The sequence below is a fragment of the Homo sapiens genome, chromosome 21 (genome assembly GCF_000001405.40).
Source record: "Homo sapiens chromosome 21, GRCh38.p14 Primary Assembly".
Taxonomy (NCBI): Eukaryota; Metazoa; Chordata; class Mammalia; order Primates; family Hominidae; genus Homo; species Homo sapiens.
Window position 1 is genome coordinate 36157015 of NC_000021.9, and position 16904 is coordinate 36173918.

Sequence of the window (16904 nt, forward strand, 5' to 3'; positions counted from 1 at the left end):
TCCTCCCCGCCGGCCCGCGGGTCCTTCTCCGGGTCCAGAGGGCTTGGGCGGCGCCGTGGGGCGGCCCGGGGTGCAGGTGGCTTACCGGCGCGCGGCCCGGGCCTGCGGCGCGCTCTGCTGCAGTGCGGGGGCGGAGAGCTCGGGGCCGGAGACCGGGAGGGCAGCGGGGAGACTGGGTGGGGTCCCCTAGGGTTACCCGACCCTGGCGCGGAGGATATGATGCCGGCCACGCCCTCGCCGAGCGGGGCGGCAGGTGCAGGTCCAGGGGTGGGTCGCGGCCCGCGCGCCCTCCCGGGGCCGGCCCACGAAGAGACGCTCAGCCTTTGTTTGCTGGTGCCCTGGCTGGGGAGGAGGCTGGGGACGCAGACCTGTGAGAACTAAGGGCTTTCCTCGTTGGGGAAGACCCCAGTCTTCCAGCCAGTCCCCAGGAGAAGGGATCCGGGCCGCAGTGCGCGCTCTGCCAGCCTGGCCCCTGCGCCCTGCAGGGTTCCCGGCTGCTCGCGGGGACTGTTACCCGCAGTGTTGCCTTACACTCGCGACTGCAGCCCCACAATTGGGAAGACTTTGCTAGGATTTTTTTGGTAAGGCGAGGGAAGACCGTCCCCCCGGCCCCACAAGTCTGCTGCCATTAGGTGGCTTAAATTTTTTCCAGTACAATTTAATTGCCACTTTGAAAGACCACATTCAAAACAGTGTGTCCCAGAGTTGATTAAGCCCATTGGTGATGAGTGTTTCTGTGCTGTGGACTAAGGATCATTATCAATTTTATTACTAATAGTACATATCTGTTATCTGTTGCTAAATGTTTTTGCTTATGTGGTAGGGTCACTGTCCTCATTTTCATCGAACTGAGAAATGTTCCTTCATATAGACATATTTACAGTGAACTTTTTTGGGATCTGGCAGTTGGTTTTTCTCTTGAACTTGTTTTTTTCTTTTTCTAAATTATTATTATTATTATTATTTTGAGACGAAGGTCTCATTATGTTGCCCAGTCTGGTCTCAAACTCCTGGGCTCAAGCAATCCTTCCACCTCGGCCTCTTAAAGTGCTGGGATTACAGGTATGAGCCACAGTGCCCAACCCTGAATTTGATTTTCTATGAAATTAAAAATGGGTAAAGAGAGAGATTTCTTGCTGACATTTTCGATTTTAAGGTATCTGAGCAGATACACTTCTTGTGTGATTACTTCTTTCTGTGTCTAGTTATTTATAGCCTGTATAACTGTCGGTTTTACTGAACTCTTCAATCTCTCACAGGAGACATATCCAGGATAGATTGCAAGATCATTGGCAAAAGAGCTATTTGAGAACTGAACCAATAATTTTATCAGTAGCATAATGTAGTGGAGACCTGTACTATCTCACTGACCTGAGCTCGAATCTGGTTCTGCTAGCTGCTGGGTGTGTGACCTGGGCAATTTTCCGAATGGCCTGACTTCTAATATCCTCATCTTGGGCCTAATACCCATCTCACAGGACTCGTGTATTGCAGTAAAGAAATGCATGCAGCCGGGCGTGGTGGCTCACACCTGTAATCCCAGCACTTTGGGAAGTCGAGGGGGTGGATCACAAGGTCAGGAGATCAAGACCATCCTGGCCAACATGATGAAACTGTGTCTCTACTAAAAATACAAAAATTAGTTGGGCGTGGTGGCATGCGCCTGTAGTCCCAGCTACTCGGGAGTCTGAGGCAGGAGAATCACTTCAATCTAGGAGGCGCAGGTTGCAGTGAGCCGAAATGGCGCCACTGCACTCCAGCATGGCGACAGAGCGAGACTCTTGTCTCAAAAAAAAAAAAAAAAGAAAAGAAAAAAGAAATGCATGCATAAGGCCAGGTGCAGTGGCTCATGCCTGTAATCCCAACACTTTGGGAGGCCGAGGTGGGCGGATCACCTTACGTCAGGAGTTTGAGACCAGCCTGGCCAACATGGTGAAACTCTGTCTCTACCAAAAATATTTTAAAAAATTAGCCAGGCATTGTGGCGGGCACCTGTAATCCCAGCTACTCGGGAGGCTGAGGCAGGAGAATCGCTGGAACCCGGGAGGCAGAGGTTGCAGTGAGCCAAGATCACACCATTTTACCCCAGCCTGGGTGACAAGAGCGAGACTCTGTCTCAAAAATCAAAAACCAAAACAAAACAAAACAAAAAAGAGACTGGGCGCAGTGGCTTATGCCTGTAATCCCAGTACTTTGGGAGGCCAAGGTGGGTGGATCACTTGAGGTTGGGTGTTCGAGACCAGGCTGACCAACATGGAGAAACCCCATCTCTACTAAAAATACAAAATTAGCCGGGCGTGGTGGCACCTGCCTGTAATCCCAGGTACTCAGGAGGCTGAGGCAGGAGAATCGCTTGAACTCAGGAGGCGGAGGTTGTGGTGAGTTGAGATCGCGCCATTGCACTCCAGCCCGGTCAACAAGAGCGAAACTCCATCTCAAAAAAAAAGAAGAAAAACAAATGCATGCATAAATGGTGAATTTACCAAGCTCACCCAGAAGACTTGCTTGGTAGCATACCACGTGCCCCATATTTCGAAATAAAGGAGCTTGCATGAATGACGATTTCCAAACTTCTCTCGTGTGCTGGTAGTTACACCAAATAGCACTTTCTTCATATGGCCAACCATAACACTGAACTGCTCCAGCTACTGCTCTTACCTGGCTGATGCCCTTCTTGCCATGAGCAGTGGCGTCCCTTGCCACCCCACCTTCTAAATACACACCTTATCGTCAATACACACCTTATCACAGTTCTCTTCCTGGTAACTCTAGCTGCCCACACCTCTGGACTTTGAGGACTCCTCTGCCGGTGGCTGAGTTTCCTCTTGGTATCATCAGACTCTGTCATTTTGTCCACCCTCTGTCACTTATGTGTGTTAAAAGGAGCAAGGCCACTTTGTCCACCCTCTGACACTTACGTGTCCCACATTAAACTGAAATTATGTATTTAGGTACTTCCACTTTTATTAGGCTATGAACTATGAGAGTAGGGACCTTGTCTTATTTATGTTTCTTTCCCCCATGTTTAGACACTTAGTAGAGTGAACAGACTGTGCACCATTGGAGTATTGCGGTGGTTTAGAGATGCTGGGTTTCAGAACTGAATTTTCTGGAAAAAATAATAATAATAATAATAATATGGACCATTTTGGATATATCAACTTCTTAGTCTTTACTTGGCAAAAGGAACAAACTACCAGCTCTCATTACCATCTTTTCCTTAATATTTTCAAAATGTGTGAAGGCAGTTATTTCAGAAAAAGGGACAGGCCTTCCCAGGATTGAGTAGGCGGTCTTATTTTGTGGGTGGGTGTGCAAGGTGCAGTATATTTTTGCAGAGAGGCACGCATATGCAGAGGCTCTGTGGCAGGATGGGTCCGTCTTGGGGTTGGAGGGTGCAGTGACAAGTGGGTAGAGTCTTGTAAGCTGGAAAAGGGGTTGTTTGGTTCTATTTTAAGTTTTCTTTTTTTTTTTTTTTTTTGAGACAGAGTCTCACTCTGTCACCCAGGCTGGAGTGCGGTGGCACAATCCCAGCTCACTGTAACTTCCACCTCCCAGGTTCAAACTATTCTCCTGCCTCAGCCTCCCGAGTAGCTGGGATCACAGGCATGTGCCACCACACCTGGCTAATTTTTGTATTTTTAGTAGTGACGGGGTTTCGCCATGTTGGCCATGCTGGTCACGAACTCCTGATGTCAGGTGATCCACCCGCCTCGGCCTCCCGAAGTGCTGGGGTTACAGGCGTGAGCCACTGCACCTGGCCTTATTTTAAGCTTTATGGAAACAATTTTAAACATGGCAGTTGTATGCATTGTTTTAAAAGGATTCTTGGAGCACTGTGTGTAAAGGCACTGGAAAGGGGCAAGTGTGGGAGAATCATTGGGAAGCTCCTGCAAACATGCAGGCAACAGGCAGCCCACACTGCGGTGTGGCGATGGAGAGCAATTGAGTCAACAGGTGTTTAGGAAGAAGAGGCAAACAGGACTGGGGTTGAGCATGGCAGGAGAAGAGAAGGAAGAGTCTAGAATAATCCAACAGGTAAAGGGGCTACTTTCTGAGAAGGAAAAGATGGGAGAAGGAGCATGTTGAGCAGATGGAATTGAGAGTTTACTGTTGTTTTTTTTTGTGTGTGTGTTTTGTTTTTTGGTGGGGACAGAGTCTCACTATGTCACCCAGGCTGGAGTGCAATGGTGCGATCTGAGCCCACTGCAACCTCCGCCTCCTGGATTCCAGTGATTCTCCCGCCTCAGCCTCCTGAATAGCTGGGATTACAGCCACCATGCCCAGCTAATTTTTCTATTTTTAGTAGAGATGGAGTTTCACCATGTTGGCCAGGCTGGTCTCGAACTCCTGACCTCGTGATCCACCCACCTCGGCCTCCCAAAGCGCTGGGATTATAGGCATGGGCCACTGCACCTGGCCTAGTTTTATTTTTTTTAACAGCTTTATTGCACTATAATTTGCAGCTCATAAAATTCATTCAAGTGTATAATTCAGTGTTGTTGTTGTTGTTTTTGAGACAGGGTCTTGCCATGTTGTTTGTGACCCAGGCTGGTCACAACCTCCGGGGCAGAAGCAATCCTCCTACCTCAACCTCTGGAGTAGCTGGGATCACAGGCATGAGCCACTGTGCCCAGATAATTTCAGTGATTTTTCATACATTTACAGAGTTGTGCAAGCATCGCCATCATCCCATTTTAGCACGTTTGCCTTACCTGAGAAAGATCGCCGTGCCCAGTGGCCATTACTCCCTGTTTTCACTGCACCCCAGGCAGCCACTAACCTACTTGCCTTCTCTCTAGATTTGCCTGTGGAGGGCATTTCATATCAATGGAATCATACAATGTCTGGTCTTGTGTGTCTGGCGTCTTCCACTAAGCGTGTGTTTTCAGGGTTCATCCAAGTTGCGGCGTATCAGTATTTGGTTCCTTTCCATTGCCTCAGCGTTCCTTTGTGGATAGACCATATTTTGTGGATGGATGCTTGTCTTAGTTAATTCAGGCTGCTCCAATAAAATAGTGTAAACTAGGTATTTCTGTTATAAGTGACAGTAGTGTATTCCTATAGTTCTGGAGGCTGAGAAGTTCAAGATCAAGGTGCTGGCAGATTCGGTGTCTGGTGGGGCCTGCTTGCTGTATCCTCACAGTGGAAAGAACAGCCAGGCTCCCTTGGGTCTCTTTAATTTAGTTTATTTGTTTGAGACAGGGTCTCATTCTGTTGCCCAGACTGGAGTGCAGTGGCATGATCATGGCTCACTGCAGCCTCAACCTCCCAAACTCAAGTGATCCTCCCAACTCAGACTCCTGAGTACCTGGGACTATAGGCATGTGCCACTACACCCTGCTAATTTTTGTATTGTTTGTAGAGATGGGGTTTCACCATGTTGCTCAGGTTAGTCTCAAACTCCTGGACTCAAGTGATCCACCTGCTTTGGCCTCCCAGGATTTCAGATGTGAGCCACTCCGTTCAGCTGGTGTCCCTTTTAAAAGAGCACTAATCCCATGACATAATCACCTCCCAAAGTCTTCACTTTCTTTTTTTTTTGAGATGGAGTCTTGTTCTGTTACCCAGGCTGGGGTACAGTGGCGCAGTCTCACCTCACTGCAACCTCCATGGCTCCTGGGTTCAAGCAATGCTCATGCCTCATCCTCCCGAGTAGCTGGGACAGGTGTGTGCCACCATGCCCAGCTATTTTTTATGTTTATTTTTTGGTAGAGATGGGTTTTCACGATGTTGGCCAGGCTGGTCTCAAACATCTGACCTCAAGTGATCTGCCCGCCTTGGCCTCTCAAAAGTGCTGAGATTACAGGTGTGAGTCACCATGCCCAGCCGCCAGGGAATGTATTTAGCAGTTGGTAGAGGAGGAGGAAAGAAGTTCAGAGAGGTAGATGGGAAACAAGCTCTGGTGCTGGAGGGGCCAGAGGAGTGTGTGGGCCAAGTGGAGGCTGCTAGGCTGCTTAAAGAAGTGGTCTGCCGCAGAGTGCTACTGAGAGGTAAAGTGAGGAAACAGAAAGGACCTCTGCCATTGGTGACTTGAAAGTAGTGGTGGTTGCCAGGCGCGGTGGCTCACGCCTGTAATCCCGGCACTTTGGGAGGCTGAGGTGGGCAGATCACGAGGTCAGGAGTTCAAGACCAGCCTGACCAACACGTGAAACCCCGTCTCTACTAAAAATACAAAAATTAGCTGGACATGGTGGCACGTGCCTGTAGCCCCAGCTATTTGGGAGGCTGAGGCAGGAGAATCGCTTGAACCCAGGAAGCAGAGGTTGCAGTGAGCCAAGATTGCGCCACCGCACTCCAGCTTGGTCAACAAGAGTGAGACTCTGTCTCAAAAAAAAAAAAAAAGAAAGAAAGAAAGTAGTGGTGGCCTGGTGAAGATTGGATTGGGTCTGGAGTGATCGGAAATTGAAGTATGAGATTTCATGAAATTTTTATAACTGTACTGGCCTGTAAATGAAAGACTCAAGCTTAAAGAACGTGTTGTACCTTCAGTTCAGTTTCTTCCATTTACCATATTTGCCTTTTTATTTGATTGACTACATCCAACTTGTTTAGCAATCTACCCAGCTAACCGCGTTCACTCACGTTTAACTATATAGCATTGCTCTGTATTTGTCTTTCCTTTCAGACTGAGCAGTACTGGTGAAATACTATTTGTCCTCATATATCAATTAGGATTGTGGTTGGCTATAACAGAAAACCTGATAGAACAGTGGCTTAAACAAATTAGCTGTTATGTGCAGAAAACATACACCAGACATTACAGCATCCGGGGTTGGCATGTGGTGCCTTCATCATGCCATCTGGGGCTGCAGGGGCTCTGTCGTTCCACTCAGCCATCGTTAGTTTGTGACTTTCGTGCATGTTTCATGACAGGTGCAAGATGTAGCTTCACTCCAACATCATGCCTTTGTTCTAGGCAGAAAGAGGAAGAAAGGAGGACAAAAGGCTTATGCCAGGAAGTCTGCCTCCTTTCCAACAGCCTTTTGACCCACAGCTTCTACTGACATCTCATTGTCAAGAGCTGTCACATGGCCACCTAGATGCAAGGGAGTCTGGGAATTACAGTGTTACCATGAACAAAACCAGTGCTCCTTTAGTACAGAAAAGGAGAACAAGGCATGTTGGGTAGATGCCTGCCACACTTTAAATAAAACAGCCAGGCATGGTGATACATCCCAATAGTCCCAGCTACTTGGGAGGCTGAGGTGGAAGGAAGGATCACTTGAGCTTAGGAGGTCAAGGCTGCAGTGACCCGTGATCGTGCCACTGCACTGCAGCCTGGGTGGCAGAGTAAGACCCTGCCTCCAAAAAAACATAAAAAGTTTAGAAATGCCATATGATGGGAGGGGCTGTGCTCATTTAAAATTACCGGCTGGCAACAACATATAGTCTAGCAGCTTTGGAGCTTTGATCCTGGAATTAATTTTGTCAGTTACTTGGAGCCCTAGCACTTCTATGCTGTCTGCTCCTGTTTCCTGTTCTCCCCCAGAATCCACGAGGGCGGGAACTATTTATCTTTCATCTCCCACAGTGCCTGGCCCAGAAGCCTTGCTAAATATTTGAACAGGATTGCCCAGTGAGTTTGTGCACAGTTGTGTTTGTGGACACGTGTCTTCTGTAGCTCTGGGTTGGGAATGATTTGTATCCCCAAATGGCTCTCTCATTTGGTTATTTTTTGATTTGCTTTTAGATACTTTTCTGCTGTGAGAATGTAAGATGGATCCAGAAGAGCAGGAGCTCTTAAATGATTACAGATACAGAAGCTACTCTTCAGTGATTGAAAAGGCTTTGAGAAATTTTGAGTCCTCGAGTGAATGGGCGGATCTCATATCTTCACTTGGCAAACTCAACAAGGTATGTAGGGTGTATCCTATTTGGATTGCATGGAGGTGGGGACGTAATTGTCTTTTTATTATTATAAGAAATTACATGATTATATTATTTGTATTTTATAATCTTTATATCATTACATATTATACAGTATAATCTTTATATTATTTCAAGGAAATACCATTATATATACAATGATGATTACAATAATTAGAAAATATAGAAAAGAAAAAAACCACTCATAATTCTGTCCTCCAGTGTTACCCACTGTTAACCTATCAATGTATGTACCTCCTTCCAGCTTTTTCTGAGCATAAAAATATATATAGTGTTCGTATAGTTGAAGTCTTTTTCTTAACAATGTTAATGTCTAGACAAGATAAAATTTAAAATGGTCAAATTAGGTATTCAAAGACTGTTCTTTGTATACTCCTTAGGATTTTTATTTATTTTTCTTCTTTGATCTACTTTTTTGATCCTTTTACTGCTGTCTGGTAACTCCTAGAAGAATAAAAGTTGAAATAAATATTGAAATCTGCCCAAAACTTGTGTGTGTGTGTGCATGTGTGTGCATACGTGTGTGCATGTGTGTGTATGGGGTCAGATCTAGGAAAACCAAAACTGGTCACACGTGGGCTTGACCTTGTACTCTATATCAGGGGTCCCCAACCCCCAGGCCGCTGACCGGTACCAGTCCGTGGCCTATTAGGAACCGGGACGCACAGCAGGAGGTGAGCGGTGCGAGCGAGCATTACTGCTTGGGCTCTGCCTCCTGTCAGATTAGTGGTGGCACTGGGTTCTCACTGGAGCATAAACCCTATCGTGAACTGCACATGTGAGGGATCTAGGTTGCATGCTCTTTAGGAGAATCTTTTTTTTTTTTTTTTTGAGACAGTCTCACTCTGTTGCCCAGGTTGGAGTGCAATGGCGCAACCTTGGCTGACTGCAACCTCCACCTCCCAGGTTCAAGCGATTACTCCTGCCTCAGCCACCCAAGTAGTTGGGATTACAGGCACGTGCCACCACACCTGGCTAATTTTTGTATTTTTAGTAGAGACTGGGTTTCACCATGTTGGCCAGGCTGGTCTCGAACTCCTGACCTCAAGTGATCCACCCACCTCGGCCTCCCAAAGTGCTGGGGTCACAGGCGTGAGCCACCACACCTGGCCACTCTTTATGAGAATCTAACTAATACCTGATGATCTGAGGTGGTACAACAGCAGATCTACAGTTTCATCCTGAAACCAACCATGCGCCCTCCCACCCATCTGCCACCCCATCTGTGGAGAAATTGTCTTCCACGTGGCCAGACGTGGTGGCTCACACCTGTAATCCCAGCACTTTGGGAGGCCAAGGTGAGTGGCGGATCACAAAATCAGGAGATCGAGACCATCCTGGCTAACGCGGTGAAACCCTGTCTCTACTAAAAATACAAAAAAATTAGCCGGGCGTGGTGGCGAGCACCTGTAGTCCCAGCTTCTCAGGAGGCTGAGGCAGGAGAATGGCGTGAACCAGGGAGGCGGAGCTTGCAGTGAGCTGAGATTGCACCACTGCCCTCCATCCTGGGTGACAGAGCAAGACTCCGTCTCAAAAAAAAAAAAATTGTCTTCCACGAAACTGGTCCCTGGTGCCAAAAAGGTTGGGAACCACATCTCTATATAAGTGACATATAGATGGGAGCATTATATTTTCCCATCCTTTCTTTCCCAGAAAGAAAGTGACACAGGGACTTTCAAGTGCTCAGATGACCACTACAACATGTAGGTAGATGATATCTGGGCTTAGATAAGCTGTACCTGGCTCTGTTGCTGTTCAGACAGGACCTGAGTTTGGAGCCCAAGTGCTAGGTGGGAGTTAGGAGATGTCTAACTCTACTCTGCAGATCTCAGCTCCCCAGGCCAAACACACCAGGGGAACTGGGGTGAGTGAAGAATTTCAGCAGCCTGACCCTCCAGCCCTGACAGATGGCTATCAGGCACGCTGCAGATGGGCAGTTCTTACAGCTCGTGGCCAGTAAGCTGCTGGTCTTTTGCAAGGTATATTTACGACCTGTAAATGTCACGGCTCCGTGCTGGCTGGGGTGGATAAATGTTTCTAAGGTCTTTAAAACAGGAAATAAGAGCTTGCAAATTCTTTGGTTTTACAGCTCTATCTCAGGAATTCTCTAGGTGAATGCAGATTGCATTCGCAGACTTGCTCTGAAGGTGGATTGCTTTTTGAGGGGAAAGGGAGAAGCAGTAGAACCGCATTGAGTCCCACATTCTTCTGGATGTTTCACTTTTCAGTACTCAGCCCTCCTGGAGTCTAAGAACAGCCTACTTTTTCTTTCTTTTCTTTTTCTTTTTGAAACAGTCTTGCTCTGTCACCCAGGCTGGAGTGCAGTGACACGATCTCGGCTCATGACAACCTGAGCCTCCCAGGTTCAAGCGATTCTCCTGCCACAGCCTCCTGAGTAGCTGAGATTAGAGGTGCCCGCCACCAGGCCTGGCTAATTTTTTTGTATTTGTAGTAGAGATGGGGTTTCACCATGTTGGCCAGGCTGGTCTCGAACTCCTGACCTCAAGTGATCCGCCCACCTCAGCCTCCCAAAGTACAGGGATTACAGGCATGAGCCACCGTGCCCAGCCGAACAGCATATTTATTGTTGGGGAGGGCACAGTCTTCATTATTTCTGTTTTTTCTTTTTCTTTATTGAGATAAAATTCACATAACACAAAATTCACCATTTACCCATTTTAAAGTGCACAGTTAAGTGGCCTTTAGTATGTTTACCATGTTGTGTAACCCTTACTATCTAGTTCCACACATTTTCATCACTCCAAAAGGAAACCCGTACCCATTCAGCAGTTCCTCCCCATTCCTCCCTCCCCCCAGCCCCGGTAACCACGAATCTACTTTCCCTCTCTACGGACTTTCCATGGAAATGGAATCATACCACATGTGGCTTTTTGTGACTGGTTTATTTCATTTAGCATAATGTTCTTAAGGTTCATCCATGTTATAGTATGTGTTAGAATTACCTTCCTTTTTACAGCTGAATAATACTCTATTGTATGGGTAAGTCACATTTTCTTTTCTTTTCTTTTCTTTTTCTTTTTTTTTTTTTTTTTTTTCGAGATGGAATCTCACTCTGTCATCCAGGCTGAAGTGCAGTGGCACAGTCTCGGCTAACTGCAACCTCCACCTTCTAGGTTGAAGCGATTCTCCTGCCTCAGCCTCCCGAGTAACTGAGACTACAGGCGCACACCACCACACCCGGCTAATTTTTGTATTTTTAGTAGAGACAGGGTTTCACCATGTTGGCCAGGCTGGTCTTGAACTCCTGACCTCCAGTGATCTGCCTGCCTTGGCCTCCCAAAGTGCTGGGATTATAGACATGAGCCACCGCGCCGAGCCACATTTTTCTTTATCCATTGATCAGTTGATGGACATTTAGATTTTTACCTTTTGGCTATTGTGAATAGTGTTGCTATGAGCATTCATTTGCAAGCTTTTGTTTGAACCTCAGTTTTCAATTCTTTGGGGTGCATACTTAGGAGGGGCATTGCTGGGACATACGGAAACGCTATGTTTAACTTACTGAGGAGCCACCAAATTGTTTTCCCAGCAGTTGCACCATTTTACATATCCACCAAAAGCAATGCGTGAGTGTTCCAATTTCCTAACATCCTCACCAATACTTATTTTCAAGTTTTTTTTTTTTTGACACTCGCTCTGTTGCCCAGGCTGGAGTGCAGTTGTGCAATCTTGGCTCCTGCAACCTCCACCTCCTGGGTTCAAGCGATTCTCATCCCTCAGCCTCCTGAGTAGCTGGGGTTATAGGCGTTAGCGACCATGCCTGGCTAATTTTTTATTTTTACTTTTTAATACAGATGGGGTTTCACCATCTTGGCCAGGCTGGTCTCGAACTCCTGACCTCAGGTGATCTGCCCGCCTCAACCTCCCAAAGTGCTGGGATTACAGGTTTGAGCCACTGTGCCCAGCCTATTTTCAGTTTTTTAAAAATGATAACCATCCTAGTTGTGTGAAGTGGTCTCTCCCTGTGGGTTTTTTTTTTTAATTAATAATTTTAAAAAATAACTTTTATTGAGACCCCACCAGGTGCAAAACCTGTTCCTGGCGTTAAGCTCCTTCTTCCTTTGCAATTCGGTCTTTCTCGAGTGGTCCCATGAATGCTTTCTTCTCCTCCATGGTCTGGAAGCGGCCATAGCCAAACTTGGAGGTGGTGTCAGTGAACTTAAGGTCAGTCTTCTCCAGAGCCCATCGTCTGGTCTGCACCAGCAAAGATGTGCAGAGAATGAGCACTCGCTTCTTGGTTCCCACCACACAGCCTTTCAGCATAACAGAGTTATTGGTCACTTCACCATAGTGGACAAAGCCACCCAGAAGGTCGATGCTCTTGTCAGACAGGTCATAGTCCGTGGAGGCATTGTTCTTGATCGGTTTGCTGTCCTCAGTAAGGTAGCCCTGGTCAATCTTACAGATCTTCTTGTTGATCTCAGTGTGGTGATGGTCGCCTTTCTGCCCAGCACATGCCATGGAGAAGGCCACATGGTCAGGATGCCATGCCCCAATCCAGGCCACCTTGCACAGGCCTCGGTGGGTCTTGTGGGGCAGCTTCTTGGTGTGCCAACAACTGGTGACCCCTTTGTAGCCTTTGCCCTTGGTCACCCCGATGATGTCGATCATCTCGTCCAGCCCAAACGCTTGGTTCACAGGTACCTGCTGCTGTAGCCCCTCCTGGGCTCAGTCCAGCTTCTCAGCCATGGTGCCTCCGTTCACTTGGATCTCCATCAGCTGGGCCTTCTTCTGGCGCAGAGGAAGTAGGCGCGTCTGGGTGTGGGCAGCGAGGCGGGTGACTTGGCAGTGCTTCCTCATGCTGCTGAAGTCTTCTCCAGCTGCTTCTTGCCATCCTCATCCTGCCATTTCTTGCAGTACTTGGTAAAGGCCTTCTTCCTAGATTTATGCCGGTTGTTAGAGAAACACCTTTTGCACTCATCGTTGATGTGCTCAGCAAAGATGGCCTTGAAGGTCCGGAGGCCTCAAGGGGTTTCCACGTAGCCCGCAATGCCCACAACCACCATAGGTGGTGTCTCCACAGTAGTCATGGCCTCTACCACCTCCTTCACTTTCACCTTGGATCTTGGCCTGTCGACTTCCCGTGTGATGTGGGTCATGCCAGCCTTGTATCCCAGGAAGGCTGTGACGTTGACCAGCTTGGAAGGGTCATCCTTAGGGAAGCTCTTCACCTTCCCACGTTGCCTATTTCTTCACTCCTATGGCAGGAAGCAGAGGGACCCATGTCTGGGAGTGGAGAACTTTCTGTGAGACATCACACAATCAAATTCCACCGGTAGAGCTCTCCCTGTGGTTTTGATTTGCATTTCCCTAATGACTAATAATTTTGAGCACCTTTTCATATGCTTTTTGGGCATTTGTGTATCTTTTTGGAAGAAATTTCTATTCTAGGCCTGGCGCGGTGGCTCATGCCTGTAATCCCAGCACTCTGGGAGGCCGAGGCCGGCAGATCATGAGGTCAAAAGATGGAGACCACCCTGGCCAACATGGTGAAACCCCATCTCTACTAAAAATACAGAAATTAGCTGGGCATGGTGGCATGCACTTGTAGTCCCAGCTACCCAGGAGGCTGAGGCAGGAGAATTGCTTGAACCCGGGAGGCAGAGGTTGCAGTGAGCTGAGATCGTGCCACTGCACTCTAGCCTGGGTGACAGAGTGAGACTCTGTCTAAATAAATAAATAAATATATATATATAAAATTATTATTTATTTATTTATAATTATCCAGCCGTGGTAGTGCTTGCTTGTCCTCCCAGCTACTTAGGAGGCTGAAGTAGGAGGATCGCTTGAGCCCAGGAGATCAAGGCTGCAGTGAGCATGATCATGCCACTACGCTGCAGCACGTAGTGCTGAGTGACAGAACAAAACCCTGTTTCAAAAAAAAAAAAAAAGACATAACTTTGTTAGAGTTGTTACCTGAGGATTCCCATCCCAAGGGTCTCCTCTTGGATCTCATTTCTTGTTCCCTGCTGCTGTGATTAACTGTTGAGTTTAAGCAGCCACCTTGAAGAATTTGCAAGATACGGTTGGGACAAAGGTGATGCTGTCAGTCCCTACCTCTGCTTTGCCTGAGGCCGCTGACATTCATGGAGAGCTCACTGCGTGCTAAGGAGTTGACGTGCATTATTGTATAATACTTAAAATGTATCTTGAGATCCGTCTCAGGTTCAACCACTTGTGCAAGGCCACTGCCAGCCAGTGGCAGAGAGAGGGCTCAGACCCCGACCAGCCTGGTTCCAAGGCCCATGCTCATGAGCAGAGCCTCCAGCCTTCTTCATGTCAGTATCTGTATAGCTTACGTAAGGGGAAAGGGCTGTGCTTCTTTGCTGCCAGGGACCCTGTCTCCATCACCCAAATGCAGTAGGCGCAATTATTAGGCCCATTTTACCGATGAAGGCTAACCTACTTGCCCAGTGTCTTATGGCAACTGAGTGGTTATTATGGATTGAATTTTGGCCTCCGTGAAAGAAACCCTGGAGTCTTAACCCTTAGTACCTCAGTATGTAACTTGATTTGGAAACAGCATCTTTACAGAGCTAATCGAGCTAGAGGAGGTCATTAGGGGGTGGCCCTAATCCAGTGTGACTGGTGTCCTGATGAAAAAGGGGAAATGTAGACACAGACATGCATGAGGGAAGGCACCATGTGAGGATGAAGGCAGAGACCAGAAAGATGCATCTACAAGCCAAGAAGTGCCAAAGAATGACAGCAAACTCCTAGCAGCGGGGGGAGAGGCACGGGACAGATTGTCTATGCAGCCTTCAGAAGAAAGCCGCTCTCTTGACACCTTGATTTCAGACTTAACATGAGAGAATACATTTCTGTTGTTGAAGCCACCTGGTGTGTGGCACTTCGTTATAGCAGCCCTAGAATGCTATGACAGTGGTAGGACAAGATCTGTTAACACCTCAGTGCTGGGGATAAGGCATTGAACACTAAGCCCCTGCTCTCATGGAAAGAAATGACGCTTTCTTGGCGAGAGACAGACGACAGATGACTGTGTGATGTCAGATGCTGAATGCTAAGAAGAAAAATAAACTGGGGAAGTGGGGTATGGAGGAAGGAGGAGGGAGTGCTATTTTAGACAGAGAGGACACTGACAGCGTGACCTTAAAGCAGAGGTTGGGGTGAAGTGAGCAAGCTGGTGGGAAGGGCAATCTGGGGCATGGGCCTGTGTCCAAGGCATGGGAAGGGGACAGGAGTAGCCAGAGGACAGAGTGACCAGAGATACAGCAGGGTCAGGCCACTGATAGGATTTTGCTCTGGCGGGGAGGGGAAGCCACTGAGCTTCCTCCCAGGGAGGCTGTGAGCAAGGGAACCTCTGCCTCACCCATTCCAAGAATTCCCCGGGCCGTCAGCAAGCACAAGAGCCAGTGTGGATGCCCGCACCATTAGGCCTGAGATCAGTTCCTGCCGTTACTGGATGTGGAGGGTTTGGATGGTGCTGGAGGGAGCACATCTTGATCAGCATCAGGAATACTTGGTTCTGTGAAACTTGCAACTTCTGCATTCAAGGGTCCCTGATAGGAGTTGGTATGAATAAAGAATTTTCTTCACTGGGTGCAGTGATGCATGCCTGTAATCCTAGCACTTTGGGAGGCTGAAGGCAGAAGGATCACTTGAGCCCAGGAGTTTCAGACCAGCTTGGGCAACATGGCAAAACCTTGTCTCTCCAAAACTACAAAAATTATCTGGCCATGGTGGTGCACACCTGTAGTCCAGCTACTCAGAAGCCTGAGGTGGGAGGATCCCTGGAGCCTCAGCCTGGAGCTCTTGCACCACTGCACTCCATCCTGGGTGACAGAGTGAGACCCTGGCTCAAAAAAAAAAAGGAATTTTTTTAAGGCTTTGGTGATCGTCACATTTCTTGGACTTATGCACAGAAATTCAGTGAGTAAGAGTTGAGAGTTGGGCGGGGCGCAGTAGCTCACCCCTGTAATCCCAGCACTTTGGGAGGCTGAGGCAGGTGGATAACCTGAGGTCAGGAGTTTGAGTCCAGCCTGGCCAACATGGTGAAACCCTGTCTCTATTAAAAATAAAAAAAATTAGCCAGGCATCGTGGCGAATGCCTGTAGTCCCAGCTACTTGGGAGGCTGAGGCAGGAGAATCGCTTGAACCTGGGAGGCAGAGGTTGCAGTGAGCCAAGATTGCACCACTGCACTCCAGCCTTGGGGACAGAGGAAGACTCTGTCTCAAAAAAGAGTTGAGAGTTGAATTAGCAAAATTCTTTATAATACAGATTTAAACAATGATATAGGACACAAAAGCTTAGGGTCAACATTCTTTTTTTTAAGGTAGGTAACTAAATGTTATAATGCATAAAACTTAGATTTGGAGGAGAAGACTCATCCAGTCAACCCTTTTTTCAACTAAGAAAACTGGTTCCCAGAAGGTCTTGGTATGTCCAGCTGTAGACAGATTCTAATGGTATCATTTTCAAACTTGCTCAATGTTTCAGCATCATTTTTAGAATTTTTCTGTGTTAGAGAATAGTTTATCTTTTTTTTTTTTTTTGAGATGGAGTCTTGCTCTGTCGCCCAGGCTGGAGTGCAGCGGCCCCGTCTTGGCTCACTGCAAGCTTCGCCTCCTGGGTTCAAGCAATCCTCCTGCCTCAGCCTCCCGAGTAGCTGGGACTACAGGCGCCCACCACCACACCCGGCTAATTTTTTTTGTATTTTTAGTAGAGACGGGGTTTCACCGTGTTAGCCAGGATAGTCTCGATCTCCTGACCTCATGATTCATCCGCCTCGGCCTCCCAAAGTGCTGGGATTACAGGCGTGAGCCGCCGCGCCCGGCCCAAGAAAAACATTTTCATCAAGTGCCCTTTTGAGCCCTGAACCCAGGTGCTCTACCAAGCCTGATTTACAGCTTTGATTTTGGAAGTGAAGGCTAATAGAAATAAATTAACTCTGGATTTAAAAATCTTATCATTAAAGCTCTTTAAAAAAAAAAAAAAGTTATAATGGTCCTAAATGAACCAGTTTTTTTTGTTT

General features: G+C 47.5%; 1 protein-coding gene and 1 pseudogene across 5 annotated transcripts in view, besides 1 other annotated feature; one reads left to right on the forward strand and one right to left on the reverse strand.

Moving 5' to 3' along the window:
- Positions 1–16904, forward strand: part of DOP1B (DOP1 leucine zipper like protein B) — a 137451-nt gene that overhangs the window by 191 nt on the left and 120356 nt on the right. For 4 of the 5 annotated variants that reach the window (XR_937581.4, XR_007067795.1, NM_001320714.2 and 1 more), the window contains one exon: positions 7694–7857. Coding sequence is in view for 2 of the 5 variants with exons in the window: in NM_001320714.2 (NP_001307643.1) it covers positions 7720–7857 (138 nt within the window). In the remaining 3 variants the exon portion in view is untranslated. Of the gene's footprint in view, positions 1–7520; positions 7580–7693; positions 7858–16904 lie in introns of those variants that run through there. The other variant, NM_005128.4, reaches the window with a different exon arrangement.
- Positions 5–304: a silencer, noted in NCBI's record as "silent region_13281". NCBI's record gives its function as "represses an Ori minimal core promoter by ATAC-STARR-seq in GM12878 lymphoblastoid cells {active_cell/tissue: GM12878}" and the evidence as "EXISTENCE:reporter gene assay evidence [ECO:0000049][PMID:35858748]".
- On the reverse strand, positions 11907–13192 carry RPL3P1 (ribosomal protein L3 pseudogene 1; annotated as a pseudogene).